Source organism: Homo sapiens, chromosome 6 (assembly GCF_000001405.40).
Source record: "Homo sapiens chromosome 6, GRCh38.p14 Primary Assembly".
Lineage (NCBI taxonomy): Eukaryota > Metazoa > Chordata > Mammalia > Primates > Hominidae > Homo > Homo sapiens.
In genome coordinates, this window is record NC_000006.12 from 41,498,548 (window position 1) to 41,520,839 (window position 22,292).

The 22,292-nt window shown below is 51.2% G+C and overlaps 2 long non-coding RNA genes across 5 annotated transcripts in view, besides 6 other annotated features; one reads left to right on the forward strand and one right to left on the reverse strand.

Moving 5' to 3' along the window:
- Positions 1-6,454, reverse strand: part of LOC112267957 (uncharacterized) — a 52,113-nt gene extending 45,659 nt beyond the window's left edge. The window contains exons 1-2 of one of the 2 annotated variants that reach the window (XR_007059573.1): positions 6,131-6,454; positions 5,700-6,009 (exon numbers count right to left, since the gene is read on the reverse strand). This is a non-coding gene — a long non-coding RNA (uncharacterized LOC112267957). Of the gene's footprint in view, positions 1-5,699 lie in introns of both variants that reach the window. The other variant, XR_002956346.2, reaches the window with a different exon arrangement.
- LINC01276 (long intergenic non-protein coding RNA 1276) lies at positions 532-21,305 on the forward strand. 3 transcript variants are annotated; one of them, NR_175974.1, is made up of 6 exons: positions 532-746; positions 1,345-1,484; positions 3,932-4,064; positions 4,256-4,426; positions 7,678-7,824; positions 9,660-10,180. It is a non-coding gene; the product is annotated as a long intergenic non-protein coding RNA 1276 (long non-coding RNA). The 3 variants fall into 3 exon arrangements; NR_175975.1 differs by lacking the exons at positions 1,345-1,484; positions 7,678-7,824 and having other exon boundaries at positions 3,973-4,064; NR_120347.1 differs by lacking the exons at positions 532-746; positions 1,345-1,484; positions 7,678-7,824; positions 9,660-10,180 and adding an exon at positions 20,829-21,305 and having other exon boundaries at positions 3,897-4,064.
- Positions 4,102-4,849: an enhancer, noted in NCBI's record as "OCT4-NANOG-H3K27ac-H3K4me1 hESC enhancer chr6:41470387-41471134 (GRCh37/hg19 assembly coordinates)". NCBI's record gives its function as "activates a minimal SCP1, AML or CMV promoter by ChIP-STARR-seq in naive and primed H9 embryonic stem cells {active_cell/tissue: H9 hESC(naive and primed)}" and the evidence as "EXISTENCE:reporter gene assay evidence [ECO:0000049][PMID:30033119]".
- Positions 4,850-5,597: an enhancer, noted in NCBI's record as "OCT4-NANOG-H3K27ac-H3K4me1 hESC enhancer chr6:41471135-41471882 (GRCh37/hg19 assembly coordinates)". NCBI's record gives its function as "activates a minimal SCP1, AML or CMV promoter by ChIP-STARR-seq in naive H9 embryonic stem cells {active_cell/tissue: H9 hESC(naive)}" and the evidence as "EXISTENCE:reporter gene assay evidence [ECO:0000049][PMID:30033119]".
- Positions 6,301-6,400: an enhancer, noted in NCBI's record as "active region_24509". NCBI's record gives its function as "activates an Ori minimal core promoter by ATAC-STARR-seq in GM12878 lymphoblastoid cells {active_cell/tissue: GM12878}" and the evidence as "EXISTENCE:reporter gene assay evidence [ECO:0000049][PMID:35858748]".
- Positions 6,581-6,740: a silencer, noted in NCBI's record as "silent region_17181". NCBI's record gives its function as "represses an Ori minimal core promoter by ATAC-STARR-seq in GM12878 lymphoblastoid cells {active_cell/tissue: GM12878}" and the evidence as "EXISTENCE:reporter gene assay evidence [ECO:0000049][PMID:35858748]".
- Positions 6,771-6,850: a silencer, noted in NCBI's record as "silent region_17182". NCBI's record gives its function as "represses an Ori minimal core promoter by ATAC-STARR-seq in GM12878 lymphoblastoid cells {active_cell/tissue: GM12878}" and the evidence as "EXISTENCE:reporter gene assay evidence [ECO:0000049][PMID:35858748]".
- Positions 6,878-7,377: an enhancer, noted in NCBI's record as "H3K4me1 hESC enhancer chr6:41473163-41473662 (GRCh37/hg19 assembly coordinates)". NCBI's record gives its function as "activates a minimal SCP1, AML or CMV promoter by ChIP-STARR-seq in naive H9 embryonic stem cells {active_cell/tissue: H9 hESC(naive)}" and the evidence as "EXISTENCE:reporter gene assay evidence [ECO:0000049][PMID:30033119]".
- Positions 21,306-22,292: the final 987 nt, after the last annotated feature.

The window sequence follows — 22,292 nt, forward strand, 5'->3', positions numbered from 1 at the left end:
TGGCACATAGTAAGTGCTCAATAAATACTCGTTATTATTGTATGTTAATGCTGTGTGTGTGTGTGTTCAGCCCCTTTCCCAGCTGATTGGGAGTTCCCTGAGGACAAGAAACATACTTTATTCATCTTCAAAGGCCCAGGGCATCAAAGTGCTTGACATAAGAGAGGCAGCTCAAAAAAAATGTATGTTGACTGAATGAATGATGAATGAATGAAGATTGGTTGGCTGAACACTTAGAGAATTTAAGTCCTGATTCCTGTCCTTAGGTCTCTCAATAGTCCCACATGGGTACCCATCAATTCTGCCTACATCTGAACCCAGAGGGGAGGTTTGTCAGGCAAAAAGGATCTTGCAGCAGAGTAACAACAGAAGCAAGAACAACCAGCTCTGCCCTGTGTACACCCCTTAACAACAACCAAGGCTCTGTCACAATGCCACACATCACTGTGAGGTAGACAGAGCAAGGGTAATCCTTATCCCATCTTACAGATGAGTAAACTGAGGGTTAGAGCAGTAATGTGACTTTCCTAAAGACAGACACAGCTAGCTAGTGGCCCAGCTGAGGCCACAGCCCCGTCACCAGACTTGATTAGATCTCTGTCAACCACATCCCAGCAGCCAAATGCTCCCTCCTTTTGCCCTCCTGCGGGGCCACGCAGCACACACCACAACCCCTTGGTCCACTGTGGTCTAGGCAAGAGCAGAAGAGTCCAAAAGCAGATGACTATCATCTTCCATTTGTCTTGGTATCTATGACCACATCTTCCATATGTCTCAATATTTGTACAGCCTAGTGGGAGGGTTGTAGAGAGTCCAGAAGTGAAGGCAACTCCAGAGCACACAATGGTCCATTGTGCCCCTGTATCCCCCTTCCCTTCACCACACCCAGCACACAGCGTCCTGTTTACCTGCCTCCAAGGCCTGGCTCCATCTCAGGTGCCACTCCAACTGGGCCCACGCACAGGCATTGCCAAACCCTCTGCCCACGAGCCCTAGGCTTGGCAGTGATGCCCTTCTTGGGGATTCCCCCCAGCTTTTGTCCCACCCCCAGTCCCTTCTACCCCAACACAGACCCCTCCTCTTGGCTCATAGCACAGTACCTGGCACACAGTAGTTCTCTGGAAATGGTTCCTGACAGTAAGTGGTTCCTTAGTGACGATCATAACCTCAGGCCCATCTGTCAAGGGGTTCTCCCAGCTTCAGAGGTGGGCGATGGCATTGTGAAGGAGGTGGGTTCCAGGGCTGAGTGTCAGCTAGACTTAGAAAAAGTTTCCTGTCCCCTTCCCTGAGCCTGGGACTTTGGGGGGAGGGCGGCGAGGGAATATAAAGCCTGTCCATCTCTAGGGACAGAAGACCCATATTAGGCACTGTCTTGGTCCAGCTGGGATGCCATTCTCCCATTCTCTCAGAAGTCAGAAGTCAAGGGTCAGGGCACCACCAAGGTCTTCAGGGACAGAAGCCCAGGCAAGAGGACAGATGGAGAGGTCTGCTCCTCAGGCCCAGATTGTGTTTGGGGGTCAAGAAGCCGGGTAGAGGTGGGAGGGGAAAGCTGCCCAGGAGAAAGTTAAGCATCATCAGTTCATCCACATACTATTCACACGCTGGGACAGAATAAGAGAGAGAAAGAGAGGAAGATAGCTGAGGGGAGCAAGAAGGGAAAAAGACAGGGACACCACAGTGAAAAGCCAAGAGGCAAGGCCAGGCACGGTGGCTCAAGCCTGTAATCCCAGCACTTTGGGAGGCCAAGGTGGGCGGATCACTGGAGGTCAGCAGTTCAAGACCAGCCTGGCCAACATGGTGAAACCTCATTTCTACTAAAAATACAAAAAATTAGCTGGGCGTGGTGGCATGTGCCTGTAATCCCAGCTACTCGGGAGGCTGACACAGGAGAATCACTTGAACTCAGGAAGCGGAGGTTGCAGTGAGCTGAGATCGCTCAACTGCACTCCAGCCTGGGTGAGAGTGAGACTCCATCTCAAAAAAAAAAAAAAAAAAAGAAAAGAAAAGAAAAGAAAAGAAAAGAAAAGCCAAGAAGCAGATGGGAAATGGGAGAGCACAAAACCACACCTCCAGGTAAGCAGGCTCTGGCAAGGACGATGAGGTTCCCCCAGCTGAAAGAAGAAGCAGACATCAAACACAAAGGCTGCAGAGGAGCATGGAAAGCATCCAGTCCAACCTACTCATTTCACCTATAAGGAGTCCAAGGCCCAGAGAGGGACATGTCTTGCCCGGGGTTACACAGCAAGTCAAGACTCAGCCCAAACCAGAGTCACAGAATGATGGCTCCAGGCTAGAAGACATTTCTTGACTTTCTACTGAGCAGAGAAAAGGGGGCTTCAGAGGGTCATACTCTGCCTGACTTCTGGAAATGTGGGAGCAAGAAGAACAGCCATCGTGGCCCACCCAGCCTATGGCCAGGTATCAGAACAAAGAAATGGAACATTCAGGCCCACTGCTTGTCTACCTAGCAGCACTTGAGCCAAGGTTTGATGGGCTTTCTATTGTACCCATTGATTTATTCCACCACTTACTCTATGTGCCTAGCACTGTGCCAGGCCCTCAAGTTGAGGAGGAGGACAAGAAGAGGGTGGCAAGGAGGCTACAAGCTAGTTTATTCGAATACTTTGAAAGAAGGCTAATTAAGTGGACATTCAGTCAGAGGTTGCTGTATGCCAGCTGCTTGCCCCATGTTACTGTGTCAGAGACTCACAAGGCAGTTCCTACTGTTAGTCCCATTTTTTCAGATGTTGACACTGAGGCTCAGAGAGACTAAGAGGCCCTAGGTCCTACAACTGATGTGGCAGAGCAGGAAGTTAAACCACACCATTTGCTCTTAACCATTAGGCTGTACGGTCCCCCAGGATGGGCTTTAAGAGCTACAGTGATGAGGTTACCCCCACCACACTGTGATCCATCACAGCCCCCCTCTTTTTTTTTTTTTTTTTTGAGACAGAGTCTCACTCTGTCACCCAGGCTGGAGTGCAGTGGCGCAATCTCAGCTCACTGCAACCTCCTCCTCCTGGGTTCAAGCAATTCTCTGCCTCAGCCTCCCGAGTAGCTGGGATTACAGGCACCCGCCACCACACCTGGCTAATTTTTGTATTTTTAGTAGAGATGGGGGTTTCACCATCTTGGCCAGGCTGGTCTTGAACTTCTGACCTCGTGATCTGCCCACCTCGGCCTCCCAGAGTGTTGGGATTACAGGTATGAGCCACTGCACTCGGCCAACACCCCTCCTTCTATCCCAGCCAAGGTGAGTCAGTCCCTCCTCTGAGGCTTTTATAAATGCCTCCCATGGCCCCTTATTTTTGGCCTAGTCTTGGAATTAATTGTCAGCATGTCTGTCTCCCTGGCAAGTTGGAGGGCAGAAATGGCCTTTGCTCAGCTCTGAACCCCCAGTGCCTAGAACAGTGTCTGGCATATGGCAGGTGCTCAATAACTGGTTATGGAAGGAGTATAGCTGGGTAATATGGTATCCCCATATGAACAGAAAATAAAACCCAGTAGAGGCTTAGGTCCAAGGGAGGGGCAGGAAGAGAGTTTCATTAGTCTCCAAATGTCCTGAGTCTAGCACACTGCCTGGAATATACTAAATGCCCTCATAAGTGCCCTTTGGAGTGAGTATGGAGGGTGCTCCAGATACGAGGCTTCCATGGGCCTAGAGGATGGACTCAGGAGGTTTGAGACTGCATTTGGATTGCGGCCAGAACTCAGGGCCCCATCCCAAGAAGTTTGAGGCCCAGCCAGACCACCATGAGAGCCTGCAGAGGACTGGGGTTCAGGGTACTGGGGGCCTCTTTTAGGAGTGCAGGCTGTTCCTGTGGACTCTGCCAGGGCTCAAAGCTGCGGACTGGGGGGTGGGCTGGATCAGAGTGAACAGGAGCGGGCAGGCTGGAGTTGGGACACATTCTCCAGCCTCTTCTGTTTGCAGGTGCCTGAGGACACCTTCAAACCTTCTCTGCTCCGTTGTAGAACTTTTTCCAGCAAGGGGGAGAGGAAGGACAAAAGGCTATGCCTTGGGCTCCAAAGTTTAGGAGAGGAGCCATGGAGATGGACAGAGAGAGGTGAGGAGAGAGAGACCCAGGAGGCCTCTGGGAAGGGAAGGGAAGGTTGCTGAGGAAGGAAGTCTGCACTTGGGGCCAGCCCTGCCTCTGGCACCAGCCCCACTGGGCCAGGGTCCCAGGGATTTATTGACTAATCCTCAAATGATACACTTTCCCTGATTTATTCTCTCTCCCGCTTGCAATCTCACAAGATCCCATTGTCTCTGGACACTGCTGGCCAAGGGCCTCCACCTCAGGAGCTGCTGCCTCTCATCCACTTCCGGGGCGAGGGTAATGGAAGCTCCCTACCGCCAAGCACCACGACCCTCCCCTGCCTTCTCCAGGCCTAAGGGTCAAGCTGCCAGGCCACCAGGCAGTGCCAGGTACGAGGATGACAACACCTAGCCAACCCGCGGAGAAGGCGGTGAGCTGGGTGACCTCCTGGAGCTGCAAGAGTTTGTGCCTGCTGAGGCCTTGCTCCACCGAGTCTTGGGGGGAGGCAGCTGGCGGGTGGGGGCGTGGCTGCCAAGGAAGTGGGTGTCGGGTACTGGGCGGGGGACAGAGCTAGGTCACAGTCGAGGTTTTCACTGACCCGAGTGGGCGGGGGTAAAGGGAATTCGTAAAAAGTTTCTTTCTTCATTAATGGCCTTTTTTCCCTATCCGAGAGCCTGGGCGCGGGAGGGAGCGAAGACGGCCGGGGGCAGGGCAGGCCCTCCGCAAGTGACACTTAATTCCCGGTCTGGACTGGGCCGGCGCTTGAAAGCAACTAAATTAGCAAAACAGAAGTCAACTGTCGATTGCTTCATTGGAGGATTAAGTGTGATAAATGGGGGGTTTGTTCGCTCTCCGGTCCAGATGTTGTGTCTAAGTAAGGGTTTTTTCAAAAAAAAGTTTTTTTACATTCTTGGCCCAGGGCCCATATATATTTTGGATACTGCTGGGAGTATATAATATCATTGGAAAATGATGCGGTCTGCTAACCTTTTAAATAACATTTCCTCCCTCCTCTATTTTCTAATAGTTTGTTTTTCTTTCCATGTTTGCCTTTTATTGGGGGAAATTTTTTTTGGAAATTAATGAGGCTCAAGTTTGGAGACCAAAATAAAAAAGGGGTGGGGGAGTGTGAGAGGTGGATGGGGTGTGGAATGAAGCTGGGTGGAGGGAGGGCTACTCTTTGTGTGTTTTAAAGCGCTCCTGGTTTGATTTTTTTTTTCTTGTAATTTTCTCTGCCGAGGCTGCCCGCGGCCCTCCGGCGGGGCTGCGCGGTGGCGCGCGCGGGAAGGGCGCCCGGGACTCTCCGCCGCGCCGGGCACCCGCTCGCCCTGCCCGGGCCGTGGGGCTGCGCGCCGCTGGCCTCCGGGAAGAACCTGCCATTCCCCCTGCAGCCGAGTCCGACGTGAGAGGGGGTGGGGGTGGGGGCGCCTCCTTCCTGAGTGAAACCTACGGAATCCGGCAGGAATTCGGGCCTCCCAGATTTAAGAAAACAAACAAAGGAAAGATTGTCAGAGAGGGGCCGCCAAGAGCCGCCGGGCCGCCGCACTGCCCTCCGCCCTCACCCCCGGGGCGCCCGGGCCTCCCAGCGGGGGCAGAACGCGAGGCTGGGGGGCTCCCCCGGGTGGTCCCCGGTGGGCTTCCCTGCCCTGGGTCTTGACTAACCTGTGTTGAGTCATCCTCCTGTCTCTAGAGCTGAAGAGGCCCCAGGGCGCATAGGAAAGGAGGGTGCTGCCGAGGTGGCTGCCTGGGGGCGGGCCCTACAGGGGTCATTTGGGGCATCCCCTGCCTCTAGGCAAATCCCCACGGAGCCCCATCCCGCACCCTCCCGCAGTGTCCAGGGCGAACCCCTGTCCCCAAGCCCAGGCTTAGGAGTGAAATCTCGACGGCTCAGGTTCCTTCTCTACGCAGTCCCCCAGCCAGACTAGGAATGGATCACCGCGCGGGTGGGCTCAGTTCCCGGCTTCGCCCGGGTCTAGGAAGAATGATAAAAAGTGAGAATGTAAAGGGAGGAGGTACTATAAAACAAAAGGGGTTAGACACCCATCAGGCAGCTGCGACCCGGTGGTAAACATGAGCGTCTCCTGTGCTCCCACCGCCTGCGTTCTTCCCGGCCGCGTCCACGTTGGTTTCCTTCTCGTTGTCTTGGTCTCTCCTGATTCTGTTCTCGTGTCAGTCTGCCCTGCCTCTGTTACTCCAAATCTCTGTGGTCTCTCTCCCTCTCTACCTTCTCTGTCTCCTTCTGAATCTGAATATGGCTCAGTGCTTCTGGCTTTCTCTTTGTCTCTGAAGCTATCTCTCTGAGAATGTCTCTGTCCCTTTCTGTCTGCCCCTCTTCGTGTTTCTCTGTCTCAAGCTGACGCTGTCTCGTGGCCTGTCTCACTGTGTCTTCTTCTGTCCTCCTCCTCGTCTTCCTCCTCCTCTCCTCCCTCCTCTCTCTCCCTCCTTCGTACCCCCCCCCGCCCCACTATTCCCCTCCATCTCTCCACCCTGCCCCCGCCTTAGGTAGCCCAGCGGGCGGGCGCCCGGCCAAGGCCGCCCTGGGCAGGGCCTTACTGGCGCTGACAGAGCCTCGCGCCCGCGGCCCAATTAGCGCGCGGCGCGAGGGACGCGGCATCTGGAATTGCGCTGCGCTCACGGCCAAGGCCGATTGTTTAGTCTGCGCGGCGGGGCGGGCGGCCCGCGCGGTGGCCCCACATCTGGAGCCTCGGCCAGACGGCCCTGCTGGCGGCTGGCCGGGGTGCGTGTGCATTTTTAACTCTGGGATTTGCTGACAAGTTAAGAAGTCAGAAAGTCAGTGACGGCGGGAACTGGCGAGGCGCTCAAGGAAGGGAGGGGCAGGCGGAGGCTCGGGCGCATCAGCCGCGGCGGAGACATGCTTGGGGGAGCGCACAGCAGCTCCGTGCTTTGGCCCAGCGCGGCCTTCCCCCAATCTACCCCCACCCGTAGCTGCCCAGCGCCGCAGCCACGCGTTGACTTTTCTTCCTTCCCGGTCTTTATCCTCTCCCACTTCTCCTTTCTCTTCATTTAGTCCCTGAATTATCCCGAAATCCCACACTTCCCAGCTGGCCAGAGCTCCTTGGAGGTCAGCCTCTAAGAGGGAAGCCCTGGAGTCTTAGGGCTCCCACGCTCTGGAGGAAACACAAAGAGGGCCAGAGAAGGCCAACAAATTGCCCGGAGGTGGCTCAGCAGTTGAGCGGCAGAGCTAGGACCAGAGGCCAACTCTCTTGACCCCTAATAGGGTTCTTGGCACAGCTCCGGGTCCCCCTTGGGGCTGATCCAATGTGAGCATTCTCACATTGTCAGAGTTCCTTCCCATCCTTTAAAAACGTGCTTTTGCACTTCCACTCATTCATTTCACAAATATCTGTAGCACACTGTGTGCCCAGCCTGGGAAACACAGCGGTAAACAAGACAGGCACGTCCTTGTGCTGCAGAGCTTACATTTTAGTGGAGAAGAGAGACAGAAACTACGCAGCAAACAAACTATCCAAAGTTAGAAACTGTTGAGGAACAGGAAAAAAATTGCTAATGTTTATTGAGTAACTATTGTGTGCCAGTCACCATTATAGATATTTTCATTTTTACCAACTCATCAAATCATTATGACCTTATGAGGTAGGCATGTGTCCCTGTTTTGCAGATGGACAATTCGAGGCTGAGAGAGTTACATGATTTATCCAAAGTCACACACGTGCACAGGTGGTGGAGCTGAGGTGCAGATTCAGGCTTGACTTCAAAACCAGGGCTCTCGCTCCAACAGTAGGCTGCAACGGCTTGAAGGACAATGGTATAGTTGTCCGGAATTGGGTAATGACATCTAGGTGATATACAATTTATTCCCAGCAGCAAAACAAGTATTTACCAGGCCGCTGCTGTAAAGATCATTACTAGCATTTGTGTACTGCTTTCCTATTTATAAGCCATTTTCACTTGCATCATCTTCTTTAATCTTCACAACTTAGAGGGGTAAGTATGATTATCATTTCCATCTCTGCCTCTGGAAACTAAGGCCTGCCAGTGTGCCCAAGCTTCACTTGAGTTTTAAGAGCGCTCCCTGCCCCAGCCCTCTTTCTCGGTAACAGAGGGCTCCATTTCTTTCCGCATTTGGTCTAGTTTTTCCTTGTTCTGTTTTCCATGGAAATACAGCTCAGTGCTCAACCTCATCCCCAGAAAATAGTGACTATATCATGCCTTTGAGATGTTTCCCCCCAGGAGCAAGTAGAGACTTTGTAATGTGCCATGGACTCTCAGCACAGTGTCCTGGTGAACCAGCCTGCTTTTCTGGTTGTGCAGCCAGGCAGACCTAACTGTTTAGGTCTGCCTAGCAGACCCACAAAGCCACACAGGGTTAGAGACCTTGGTTTCTATCCAGCCTCTACTGTGTGACCCAGCAGGTCGCTTACCCTCTCTGGACTTCAGTGTCCTCCTCTTTGAGATGGGAGATTTGGGATAGAGCAAATCTACTTTTCTTGGGTCACAAACTCCTTTGAGAATTTGCTGGAAGCTTTAGGTCACCAATTTAGAGTGGCTTATGTGTACACGTATCCTCAAGCACTCCATTTTTACATATAAATATATATATATATATATATATATATATATATATATATATATATATATATATATATATTGAGATGGTGTCTTGCTCTATCTCCCAGACGAGAGTGCAGTGGCGCCATCTTGGCTCACTGCACCCTCCGCCTCCCGGGTTCAAGCCATTCTTGTGCCTTAGCCTCCCGAGTAGCTGGGATTACAGGTGCCCACCACCACACCAGGCTAATTTTTGTATTTTTAGTAGAAACAGAGTTTCACCATGTTGGCCAGGCTGGTCTCAAACTCCTGACCTCAGGTGATCGCCCCACCTCGGCCTCCCAAAGTCTGGGATTACAGGTGTGAGCCACCATGCCTGGCCATTTTTTACTTATAATTTTTAGGGACTTAGGGACTCTTAAGGGTTATTCATGGGCTCCCTAGGGATTCCAAGACCCCCCCCACCCCCATTCCTCCCACCGCCAAGTTTGGGATTGCTGTACAAAATGGTTTCTACACTCATCAGACATCCGAAAAAACCCACTACTGACCCAGGTAAAAGGAACCACAGGCTATCCCTGGTAGGCAGGGAAACGTGGGATCCTTTTCACTGAGGAGTCAGCAGATCTTAACCCCATGGCCTTTTCTTTTTCCATCTTTTACCTTTGGGGTTGTCTTGGAATAGGAAGAGGCAGGAGTCATCCCACCAGGGCCAGGGGAACACACCTTTGTGTTTTGACCACAGAGTGAATAACATAACTAGGTACCTCAAGCTTGGATCATGCCTAGATCCTGCTTGGATCATCCCCTACACACATCATCATCATCATCATCATCATCATCACCATCATCACCATCATCATCATCACAGCCACTTCTTACCTGTTCTGAGCACTCCCCAAACATCATTCTAGCTTGTTCCAACCCATCTATGGCATAAGCAGAGAAGGTAGAAAGGTCTTAATTTTATAGACGATGTGGCCCAGAGTCATCCTATGTGTTGCTTAGCATCACACAATGAATTAAAAACTGAGCAATGGGGAGAGTCCAGGTTTTCCCAGCTCTAATGTCAAACCTCCTTTTGGTCCACAGATACTTACAGCATGCCTACTGTGTGCAAAATGCCATGCTGAAGGCTGTCAGGGCTTGAAAGGTGATGATTCAGCAGAGGATGCTGTTTGTGCCTCACCCCGTGTCCTCTAGCCCACTTCTCCACTCATCTGCCACCGTGATGGGAAGGTGTCAGCAAGCCCAGGAATTGTCCACCCTAAGCAGCCTTTCTGCTTCTCACCTGCAGAGTTTCTCCAGTGCAGGGACCAAGAGAGCTTTACTCAGCCCACAGGACAGCTGGGATTTAGCACTGCAGGGGCAACCCTCAAGTTATTAATAAGAGATAAGAATGGGTGGATAAGCAACCTGGCTGCCTTGGAACTCCGTGGGACAATTCCATGGTGTGTTCTCACAGTTCCTCAGTGGGCCCCCATTGCCCACAATGAAACTCGATCATTAACCACTCTTCACTGGCTTTTCTCCTAACCCATCCCTATCTCACTTCCCCTTTCCCTCCCTCCAGCCTCCAGGGATCACCTCCTCAGTAAACTACCTGCACCCAAGTTCTTGTCTCAGGGTCTGATTTCAGGAGAAACCAAACTAGGACATGCAGAGACACGCGTGCACACATACACATACACACACACACACACACACACGCGCACATCTCTGTGAAAAGATGAGGCACAGAGAAGAATCATTCCCAGTCATGACTGGATGGCACCAATAATAAAGGCTGACACGTCCAAAGCTCTAAGACTGTGCTCCTCACTTTGCTAAGCACGTTCGACACTTGCTTCATTTATTTATTTTTATTTGGCAGGTGAGAAGTAGGCATCATAATTATACCTATTACATAGAGTAAGAAACTGAGGCTGAGAGATTAACCTGTCAAGGTCCCTTAGCTAAGTGGTAAAGCCTGGCTGTGTGCCCAGACCTGTCCACCTCCAAAGCAGTTGTCTTGTAAAGACTGCCTAGGCTGTCCGTGGCTGATGCTACAGGAATGGAGCCCAGAGAGGACTAGGGATGGGGAGACTTCCTGGAGGAGGTGGGGTTTGGCTTGGCCTTGAAAGACCAGGTAGGCTTCCACTTCTACCCATCCAGGGCAGGCCGTATGGAAAACAGGGAAAGCTTCTAGGCAAAACATGAAGAACTTTAAAAACAACAGTGAGGAGTTGGGTCCAGCTAGCCAGGAGTGTGTGTTGGAGCAGGTTGAGGCCAGGCTGTGGAGACCAGAATGTCAGCCAGCAAGGTAGCCTCTTCCCCACTCCAGCCCAATGACCTATGTCAGAGAGAGCTCACCAGGAACAGGAATGGTGAAGGCTGGGGACTAGACAGCAGTCCTGCTCAGGCAGGGAGGGCAGAGAACTCACACCTGGTCTGCACCCCATTTCCTGGCCAGGCACCCCTGGTCTCAGTCATTCCCCATTTCCAAGTAGTAAATAGATGTATAAAGCAACCATTTCCATTTAAAGCTCTGCAGACCGTAGGGAGGAGGGCCTGCAGGCCATCTGGGCCCTTGTTTGGCAATGTTTGTGCTCACAACAAACCTGATAGACAGAGATTTATCGCCGTTTTCATTAGCTGGGGTTGGTTTGGTTTGCTGCTTTTCCACCCCCTCCCCGCTACACACACACTCCCGAGTTACAGATTTATGGTGGGTGGGAGGACCAGGGACTCAGAGAGAGGGGAGGAAGAAGGCTGAGCAAGGTATGGACTTGAAGCAAAGGGGATGGGGTGGGGATATGGAGGATGAAGGGGTGGGGGTGGTGAGGAGTGCACCAGCTCCAGAGAAAAGACTAAGAGAGGGTGTGTGTGTGTGTGTGTGTGTGCACTAGCATGCATGTTAGAAGGTGGCTGAAAGACACCTGCAGCCACATGCCCCCAACACACACGTACACACACATCTCATAATCACTGTAACTGTTGAGCATAGAAGCTGCTGAAATTCTAAGCTATCACCACCAGCACTGGGCCCAAGGCCAGGAGGGATGCAGACCTTTGGCAACCTCAGGGTCCACTCTGGTATGACCGTATTTAACAAATGCCTATGTAGCATTCCTTCTGTCCTGAGGCTTTAGCTAGCTTCACTAATTTCACCATTAAAGCAACCTCCAAAGTGGACACTGTATCGTTTCCTTGATGCTGGTTCTTTCCCTCCCCTCACAGCAGAGTATACACCCCACCCATCTCTGTAGGAAGGGGGCCTGGACTTGAGTTCCCAGTTGAAGATATCATTTTTCCCCTTGGTGAAGTTCCCATGGGCATCCCCTTAGGGCTCTTTCTTGGGTTCTTTGCACTCCCTCTCCTCCAGCACTTCCCACCCCCAGCCAGGCTGGCTCTTCCCTGTCTGCATCTTTTCTCAAACAGCACCTCCTGCCCGGTGTGCCCTCCCCACACCTTCACTCATCAAAATCCTTCTAGCCTTCAAGCCCTCGGGGACTGCCTCGTGAGGCCATTCCTGAGCTGCTCCATGAGGGTCATGCCTTCAGTGAAAGACACTGAGAGCCGCCCTTGGGGATCATCCTGAAGGAAGAGGAAGAAACCAGAGAAGGTTGGCTCCCGCCTCTCACAAGCAGAGTGGCTCTACTTTTTATAGCAGAGTTCTGTGTTGGATTTCATTACAGCTAATTTTAAGAGGAAAAACAAGGTTTAACCCAGTGATCAATTCTAACTTTCTCATTTCACAGGTGAGAAACCAAGATCAGAGAGGGTGAGTGACTTGTCCAAGTCACACAGAGTTCTCGTCAGGGCCACAGGGCCAGGCTCCCCGATGCTCTTTCCATGGGATAGTTTCCCCAGTGTATATGCCCATCCTGCTAGGAGACTGGAAGCTCTAGAGAGCAAGGACCAGGACGTGGCATCTCTGTCTCCACTCAACAAACATGTGATGCCTGCGTGTTATTTCACAGGCATTTGATCCCCAAGGCTGGCAGCTTTCGGAGGGTCCATGTTATCAACTTGCCTCCACAGCACCCAGGTAGGGACAGGCTGTAGGGTTGAGACAGGGCTGGAGTGTGGAAGGGGGAGTTCCTTGTCTCTATAGAATCTCCTCTGTCTGGAACACTCACTGCCAAACAGAGCTCTCTGCCTCAGGATTTTCAACACACAAAGCACCTGTCTTTTCAGACCCACCCATAGTCATGTCCCTTGAAAAGAAAGGGTTGATGGGTTGGTTGGTTGGTTGGTTGGTTGGTTGCCTGGAAGGCCCTTAGCAATAATCTGAAGGAAACCAAAAGAACTTCCTCTCCCCAACAAACCAGAACATCAACCCACCATCAGCCTGCCTCAGTGTCTACCGTCCCATCAGAGTGCCTCCTGTGGGACACGGCCTTGGCTCCAGAAAGTCCCACCTCTTTCCTAAGCAGGAGTATCCCACTAGTTCTGACTAAGGCAGGACTTATCGAAGTCAAGAGTGGGCTCTGGAGCCACACAGTCTTGGATTCTAGTCCAAGCTCTGCGGCTGAGAAATACTGAAATACTTAACCTCTCTCTGCTCTGGTCTCCTCTGGGAAATAGGGATAAGAATATCTGGAACAGTGCTCAGAGGATTATTAAAAGAAGTGAACAATTTGTCTCAACTTCCCTGACGGAAAAAAAAAAGGATTGAATGAGATAACCAGTTGGGACACTCAACACAGCACTGGGCCCACTATCTTCCTGTGAATGAGGTCCTCCAGGATTAGCAAGTGCGTTGCTTGGCAAAGTCCCCAGGGAACAAGAGGATGGAGCTGGTGGAGCTTGAAGACACAGAGAATAGAGGGAGTTACCCCAGGCCACAGACAGCCCTGGTAGAGGAGGGGGAACAGCCTAGTCACTGAGCCCCCATCTGCTATGGGGAATCTTGAAAGTGGGAGGAGAAAAGTCTGGCACCAAAACCAACGTCTCCTTCTCTGATTTGCCAGGAGCTGCCCCTTAGCTGGGCTTAAGAGTTCCTTCCAAGGGGTCATTTCACATGATAACAAACTTTCATAGAACTCACTACATGCCAAACACTACATCTTCCCCCGGTAAACTAGACGGTTGGGGCCATTAGGGATTATTATCGTTACCCTGTCTTAGAAGAAGGCGGCTGATGCACCAGGAGCTAGCAACCTGCTGGGGCCACACAGTCCTAAAGAGCAGAACTGGGCTTTGAACCCAGGTGGTCTGCCTGCTCTTAACCCCCTGGACACTGGGTCAGCTTCCTCGCCAGCCACTGGCCACACCTCCAAAGCCCTCTGCAGTCAGTTGCCTGACCAACCTTTCTTTTGCCTACTGGGGTCTTGTCAAATCTGTATGTCTCACTATCAGGCTGGGATCTCATTCTTTTTCCAGTTCGATGGAAATTACCAAGGTCCAGGGGTCCAAGGTTGGGGGGATGGGGGAGGGTGAACAAGACAAATAAGACATAATCCTGGCCCTTGGGAGTTTTCCACTCACCCCTCTTAGACCAAGCAAAAGTACAAATGGAGACCCACATTCCATATGTCTAAATATTTAAAAGTTAAAAATCAAGTTAACAAACTGTTTAATAAAATATGTTCTATTCATACACCTTCTAAAGATCTGGAAGGCTGGATTTGAATTTAGAGTTCTCAGGTTTCTTGGAGTTCTACACAGGGACACGGAGTGGGGAGAAACTCCCTCTGCTCTCCCCCAGCCCTGCCCTCAGCCTGCCTCTTCCCTTCCCATCCCCACCTTCACCTTAAACTAGGGCTTCGAGCATGTGTGTAGATACTCCAATCCGCACACACAGCTGCTGACTGCATGCCCCACACTCAACTCACAGCCAAGACACAGGCTACCCTCTGGAGGTTGAACCTGGGGAGGTGGCCTGCAGAGGTCTTGGATGCAGGGTACAGGCCCTTAGGGCAGGGATTTCTAGGGCCCTGGGCATCTGGAGCATGGTTCAGGAGTGGGGGTGGCTCCCTCCTTCTGAACAGACTCCTACCCTGTGAGGAGGGCCAAAGGAGGGCCCTAAGTTTAGGGCCCCTTGTCTACAGGCACTGGAGCTGGAGGTGGGTCACTCTTTCTTCCTTCTGCTTTCTAATCTCTTTGCCTGATCAGCCAACATCTGAACATCCTGGCAACTTTCCTTTCTAAACAGTTCTCCAAGCCCCATCACAGCCCCTGTAGTCCAGGCCACTCTCATCTATCACCAGGTCACCACAACAGCTTCCTAACTGGTCCTCCAGGCCCCAGTCCTTTGCCCACCCCTCCACAGCCAGTGATCTTTGTTGAACACAAACTGGATCATGATGCAGCCATGCTTAACACTCTTCCGTGGCTCCCTGCTGCACACAGAAGACCCAAATTCAACTTGGCCATTGACGTTGGTGTCCAGCCCCTCTCAAGCCCTCCAGCCTCAGCCTGCCCTACTCCCTGCCCCTAAATGATGCTCTGGCCTATCTACACTGCCCCCAGGTCCCTGCAAGACATGAAGTACACACTGCAGTGTGTGCTGCTCCTCTGCCCCACTTTCTCACCTCCTGTCTCTACGAATTCCTTCTTCTTGAAGATTTGGCTTCATGGTCAAACCTGCAGCAATCCTTTCTTGTCAACAGCCCACTCCCGCCTCCAGGTCTGGCAGGGAGTCCCCGGCTTGTGCTCTCATACTAGTATCTACACTCTATTATAACTATCACTAATTTAACCACTTCTTAATACCCTGACCATTGCCATCTCTTGCTTGAACTATTGCAGTGGCTCCCTAACTACTCTCCCTGCTTCCACTCTTGCCCCTTCCTCTAGGCTGTCCTCCACCAGCAGCCAAAGTGAGCCTTTTAAGACATGTGTTTGGGCTGGGCGCAGTGGCTCACGCTTGTAATCCCAGCACTTTGGGAGGCCGAGGCGGGCAGATCACCTGAGGTCAGGAGTTCCAGATGAGCCTGACCAACATGGCGAAACCCCGTCTCTACTAAAGATACAAAATTAGCCGGGTGTGGTGGCACGTGTCTGTAATCCCAGCTACTCAGGAGGCTGAGGAAGGAGAATCGCTTGAACCCGGGAGGCGGAGGTTGCAGTGAGCCAAGATTGCGCCATTGCACTCCAGCCTGGGCAACAAGAGCAAAACTCCTTCTCAAAAAAAAAAAGACATGTGTTTACTGACCTCACCCCCTGCTCAATATCCCCAGTGGCTCTCATCTCACTATAGGATCCGAAGGCCTGGCGGGGCTATAGTATCATTCATGATTTGCCCCCTGCTCCCTCTACTCTTCTCCCTTCTTCCTTCCCTCACTCACTCTTCCCCAGACACACTGGTCTCTTTCCTTGCTCCTCGTTAAACCCAAAGGCACTGCTGCCTCAGGACCATTGCACAAGCAGTTCCTTCCCTTTACTCAGATTTCTGCTCAAATATCCTCACCTCCAAGGTCCTTCTCTTCCCCCCTACTTTGTTTTACTTCACACATTCATCTCCCCATGACAGACTGCATATCTCTTTGCTTATGTGTTTCTGTCTGTTTCTCCTTCAACCATCTAAGCTCCACAAGAGTGGGGACTTTATCTGTTTTGTCCACCTCAGTGTCCTCAGGTCTGGCACATAGAGGTGCTCAAGAAGAATTTGGCAAAGGAATCATCTGTTTATGTTTTCATGTCCCAGCTAGAATGTGTCCCCCCAAGAGCAGGGACCGTGGCTCATTTATCTCAGTATCCCCTCTGCTTGGCCTGTTGCTGGGCACATAAACAGATGACTTCATTCAGATGGTGAAGGAATGGAGGCCAAGAGCATGGCCTGTGAAAAGGCACCACAGTGGGCTGGAGCCAAGGGCACGCAGGGCAGATGGAGCTGGAAAGGTGAGGTGGGAGCAAATTACAGAGGGGCTGGAAGGCTGGGGGAGCTTCTCTGTAACTTAACATTGAAATGGCTCCTATCTAACATGGAGCCATTGCAAGGTCTTAAGCCAAAGAGAAGAATTTTACGCTGCAACTGTATTTAAAGCTGGGCACGGTGGCTCATGCCTATAATCCCAGCACTTTGGGAAGCCAACACAGGAGAATCACTTGAGGCTAGGAGTTTGAGACCAGCCTGAGCAATACAGTGAGACCCCATCTCTATGAAAAATTTAAAAATTAGCTGGATGTGATGGCACACTCCTGTAGTCCCAGCTACTGGGGAGGCTCAGGCAGGAGGATCAATTGAACCTGGGAGGTCAAGGTTGCAGTGTGCCATAATCATGCCACTGCTCTCCAGCCTGGATGACAGAGCGAGACCCCGTCTCAAACAAAATAAAATATATATATATAATATATATATATATAATATATTTTATATATATATATATATATATATATATATAGATATAGATATATTTTTTAAAGAACTTGGGAGCCGGGTGCGGTGGCTCACACCTGTAATCCCAGCACTTTGGGAGGCCAAGACGGGCAGATCACAAGGTCAGGAGATCGAGACCATCCTGGCTAACATGGTGAAACCCCGTCTCTACTAAAAATACAAAAAAATTAGCTGGGCCTGGTGGCGGGTGCCTGTAGTCCCAGCTACTCGGGAGGCTGAGGCAGGAGAATGGTGTGAACCTGGGAGGCGGAGCTTGCAGTGAGCCGAGATCGCGCCACTGCACTCCAGCCTGGGTGACAGAGCAAGACTCTGTCTCAAAAAAAAAAAAAAAAGAACTTGGGAGAAGAGTAATCACGAAAGCATGGAGAGATGGAACTGACTTAGAGATTGCAAAATCCCCAATCTCAGAATATCCCAGAAGCAAAGCATCATCTTGAGTTGGACACACCAAGGCTTGTCTCCTGATACTTCTCGGCCTCTTTACACTGGCTCAGTCCACTTTTTGACACTGAAAATTGGTTCTGGACATAAGTGCTCCAATCACCCCTAGGAATGCTGGAATTTGCGTGAGAAGGTATCTTAGAGAAAGGTTAGATGTGAGCGGTTCCCTGGGGGCAAGGGCTGGGAAAGGGGCAGGAAGAGTATGGTGGCTCTGCCCCCCCGGGAAAAGTTGAAGGCCCTTATTTGGCATCACCACTCACCTAGGCCTTGGTTGTCCAGGAAGGCCTGGGAAACAGGGCGACAGAGTGTCTCGGGTCTCCCCTCCCCTCTACCCACCCCCCAGGCTTTACTCTGGGTCAGTTGAAGCCTGAAGTGGCTTTTAAGCAATTAGACCAAGCACTGGGCACTTTCAAATCTAATTGTTTCAAAAGCCCTTGAAGGGTTTGAGTCTGAGCTCTTAAAATGCCAGAGAAGAGGGAAATCAGTGATGGTGGGAAGTGTGCGGGGCCCAGCTCTCTTCCCCTGCCCCTGTTTCTGCTCTCCATCTTCTTGAGGATGGAGCGAGTGGACAATTTAGAGCAGAAGGGTCCCTCCTCCCCAGGCTCTGAAGGTTCTGTATCCCCTTCCCTGCCCTACTTCAGGTATCCAAGTAACTGTTTAATCAAACTCTATGCCCTCCCCACCAAATTGATGAGAACTAGGGCCGTCCAGTAGGGAGACCCTGACCCCAGTGGGCAAAGCATCTCACCATCACCCAAGAAAACATGTCAGCAGCCTCACTGTGATTGCACACCTACTCATGGGCTGGAGGCTTGGGATTTTTTAAAAACCTCCTGACCTCAAGGAGACCAACAGCCTGACAAGGGAGAAAAGAGCTGCTTCAAATGGGCAGAAATGAGAGGTTGAACTTAAGAGAGATGCAAAAGCAGTGAGCTCCAGGAACACCGAACTGGGTGGGAGTAGGGCCAGAACTGGAGGAGAGAATTGAGGAACGCTCCATGGTGGAGGGTGACATTTGAGCTGAGCCTGAAGAGTCCGTAGAATTGTGCAGGTCAAGTTAGAAAGAAGGGTACATTATGAGTCCAGGGAATGAACATGAGCCAGAAGTGATCATGGAAGGGTGGAGGCCCCTAAGGACTCACATCCATCCCATCATGCTCTGACTCAGTTTCTTTGTCTATAAAATGGATCACTAGACTGGCTCAGTGGATTCTATTCGTGTTCTCCTGAGCTTTGGAGGTCCACAGAGAAGCTTTGGACCACTTATGGGCCAAGTGGGAGAGCAGAGGAGGCAGGGTCTAGACCTTTGCCTTCAACTGGAGCTTTAACTCTTAGCTGTTTTATATTTTGGATTTCGGTATACTTTTGAGTCATTTTGTCCTCTGCAAACTACTGGGTGGATGGGTCCCTGGATATCTTCCAGCTCTGAGCTCAGGGTCTTCCTCATGATCAGCCACTTCCCTACCAAGAAGGACAGAGAGAGAAATCTATGCAGAGCCCTGAGGGCCAGTGGGGTGGAAATTCTACCCCAAGTTCTGATGTCCTGGAAGGGCTCCTGCCCAGCTGCCCTGGGGAGCTCAGCCCATGACCAAACTCAGATGGACTGATGGGTTTGATTCCTGGAGATATATCATTAAAGCACCTCCCTTTACATTTAGGTAAAGTCTCCCAAACTTTTTTCATGAGGAGAAATTGCCTTTCCTTCCATTGAAGGTGCAAAAAAGACAGCTTGGGTTGCTGCCAATATACCTACATGCTGTCAGAGGGTGTGGATGCCACTACCCACAAAGCCCAGAGTTTGGACAGCAGCCCACCAAACAGCTTAGAGGTGTCCCAGCTAAGCCTTCGAGATAGGATGGAGGGTCTCCAGGAATGCCAAAGGAAATTGTTGAGGAAATCAAAGAATGAATGAACAAATAAAGAGGCCACTGCCAAAATGCCCTTGAAAGGATCACTTTGGAAGCTGTTATTAGTCGTGTTTACCTTGGTGTGAATTAAGTATCTTAGGGTAAGAGTTGCTAGGAGGAAGGAAAGGTTTTGGAAACTGGATGTCACTATATAAGGAAAGAATAATACAAAAAGAAAGATGATGGGTGCAAGACAATCACTCACATAACTTCATCCTAGTCTCCACTACCCCCAGCTCCTCACCTTCCCTCAACCCACCCCCAGCCTCCTCCTCATACCCTCTCCCTTCTTTCCTCCCTGGAAATGCTCCCCAGCTCAGGGCCCAGGTGCTGAAAGGTGCTTTAACGTGAGTGAAAAAGTATTTGGCCTGGAGCAGGGGGACCGGAAGGGGGTGTCAGTCTGTGCCATCTGAAGGGGTGTGGCCCGCTGCATGTAAACATGGAGGAAGGGAGTGGCTTCCGGCCTGAGCTATGGGCCCAGGGAAGGACTGGAAATTCCTACCTGGCCTTCTGCTGCCTCCCCACCTGCCACTGCAGCAACTTCGCTTCACAAACAAAACAGAGACGGAAGTCAGTGGAGTCTTTGCAATGACATCTGCCCCTGCTCAAGTCCTCTGCCCTTGGGAGGTCCCACGACAGGCCTTGGCTCCAACCTTCAGCACCCAAGACCCCAGGATGGCCCATACTCTCAGGGGCCCCTGCCCTGGCCCTGGCCCACTTTCCTGGTCATGTTCTCTTAGGAGTGGCTTCTAGCTATAAAAGCCCAGGTAGGCTTAAGACAAGCAAACAACAATAATAACAACGAAACCCACTTCCCATGGTTCTCCCACAGTTATAGGTTGAGAAGTCAGATGTGTAACTTAGAGCAGGTCACTTAAACTTTCTGGATTTCAGCGTCTTCCTCAATGGACAAAACAGGTCGGAAGACAGTTTGAATCATATAAGGTGCTCTATAAGGGTTGGGGATAAATATTAGGCCATTTAACTGTGGGTTCAAATCCTGCCTCCACCTCCCACCAGCTGGGTGATCTTGGGCAGGTTATTGAATTCTTGGTGCCTCAGTTTTCTCATCAGAGGTGCTCCTGTGACCTATGTTGCAGCTTTGGGAGGTGGATTAAATGAGATAATGGATGCAAATCATCCAGCTCAGTCCCCACAGTTGGTAGAGGTTAGTTTTCTATTACTATATTTTGTTGAACCTAAGACTGTAAGATGCACCATTATTTTACGATCCACTAAGAAAAAAATACCACTGTCAATGAATTGTGAGACGCCTTGAAATGGAAGAGATACTGTATTATTGGAAGGACAAGTGGGGAGTGGGTGGGAAATGGGAATGTCAATCTTTTTCCACTTGGGATGCATCCTGGAATCCAATGCCCAGCCTGCATCCCAGTTAAACCAAAACCTCTGGAGTACAGCCAGTAATCTTTCTGTGACTTGGTTTCCCCATATGCAAAATTGGGATAATTATAGAATCTACTGGGGCCATTAAATGAGTTGATTCATGTAAGCGATTTAGAACAGTACCAGGCCCACAGAAATGCTAAAGTAATTGTTAACAACTATTCCTCTCTCCACCCCCAGGTCCTGGCACAGGCTAGGTGCCTTCTGACTGTTGGTTGATGCAGGAATAGACATGATCATGTGACTGCTGCCCTCCCTCCAACCCCCATCCAGCAGGGAGAGGCCCACTCTGGCCTCTGGAAGCCGGAGAAGAGGCTCACCTGCCCAAAGGCCTTCTGTCCAAAGTTCAAGGGAGCCCCACCCCTCCCAGATGCTCAGCTCACCCCACCCCCAACAGGCAGGGCTACAGTGTGGTGGGCACTGCCACACCCGGACCTGCCACAACCTCTTGGAGTCAGTGACAAGAACCAAACGCACCCCAGCCTCCACCCCTCCCCTTTCCTGCTTTTATTATTTTCTTTTCCATAAAGATTAGTCTGTGTTGCTCCTCTATCAAGGCCTGGAGGATAAACATGTGGTCCGGAGGCAGAGAAACCCCAGGCCTGAAGGCCCCACTGCCCCCACCCCAGCAGCATAAACCCAGGGCTTTTAAGCAAGGAATGGTTTTCAGTAAATCTCTCCTATCAGCAGAAACCTTTGAAAGAGTTTGTTTAAAGGCCAGGGAGATAAACAGCAAGGAGAAGTGTTTGTTTAAGATGTATGTTCTGTGTGGCCACTCTGGGGCCCGGATTTACATCTCTGGGGAGAGGAACCACTCGGAGGCCAGGGTGGGGGCCTTCCAGGGGCACCTTGGGCTCCCGGTGTGGACTTCAGCCCAGGCAGGGACCCATGAGCTCAGGGGAGGGAAGTTAGCTGGACTGCACTCACAGGCCTCTCCAGGCTTGGGGCAAGAAAGCAGGGGCTGAAAGGAGCTGCAGGAAGGGAAGAAGCCCTGTAAAGGAGGGGAGGGGTGCCTGGAAGGACCTGCTGGTTGGAATGCAGGCAGAAATCCCCTAGGAAGCCACCAAACACACACACACACACACACACACACACACACAAAGCTCAGAACAGGCTCAGGCTCAAGGCCCACCCCAAACAGCCTCATACTCAGCAGCCCAATACACAGCTGGGTATGGCCAGCTCTGTGACCTTGGACAAGCCACCTAACCCAGAACTAGAGCCCTAGTTCCTCTCTGCTGTGAAAACAACACACCTGCCTCAAAGGGTTTTGAGTTTTCCTCCTGTCATTTGACAGATATCGCTTGTACACCTACCGTATGTCAGGCACTGTTCTAGGTGCTTGGGATGCAACAGTAAACAAAATACAGCCTCTGTCCTTTTGGAACTTAAAGAGGAGGAAGATAGGCAATGAGCACAATAATCAGTAAATTAAATACTCTTCGGAAGGTGACATGAGCTATAGAAAGAAATAAAGCGGGTACAAAGACCTGGGAAAGGATGGTTAGGTTGGACCTCCCAGAGAAGGTGGTCCTTCAAGGAGATGCAGGTATCTGAGGGGAGAGAAGCTCAGGCAGAACCCTCAGCCAGGGCAAAAGCCTGGAGGATTGAATAAAATACCTTAGGGTAGGTGCTGAAGCATAG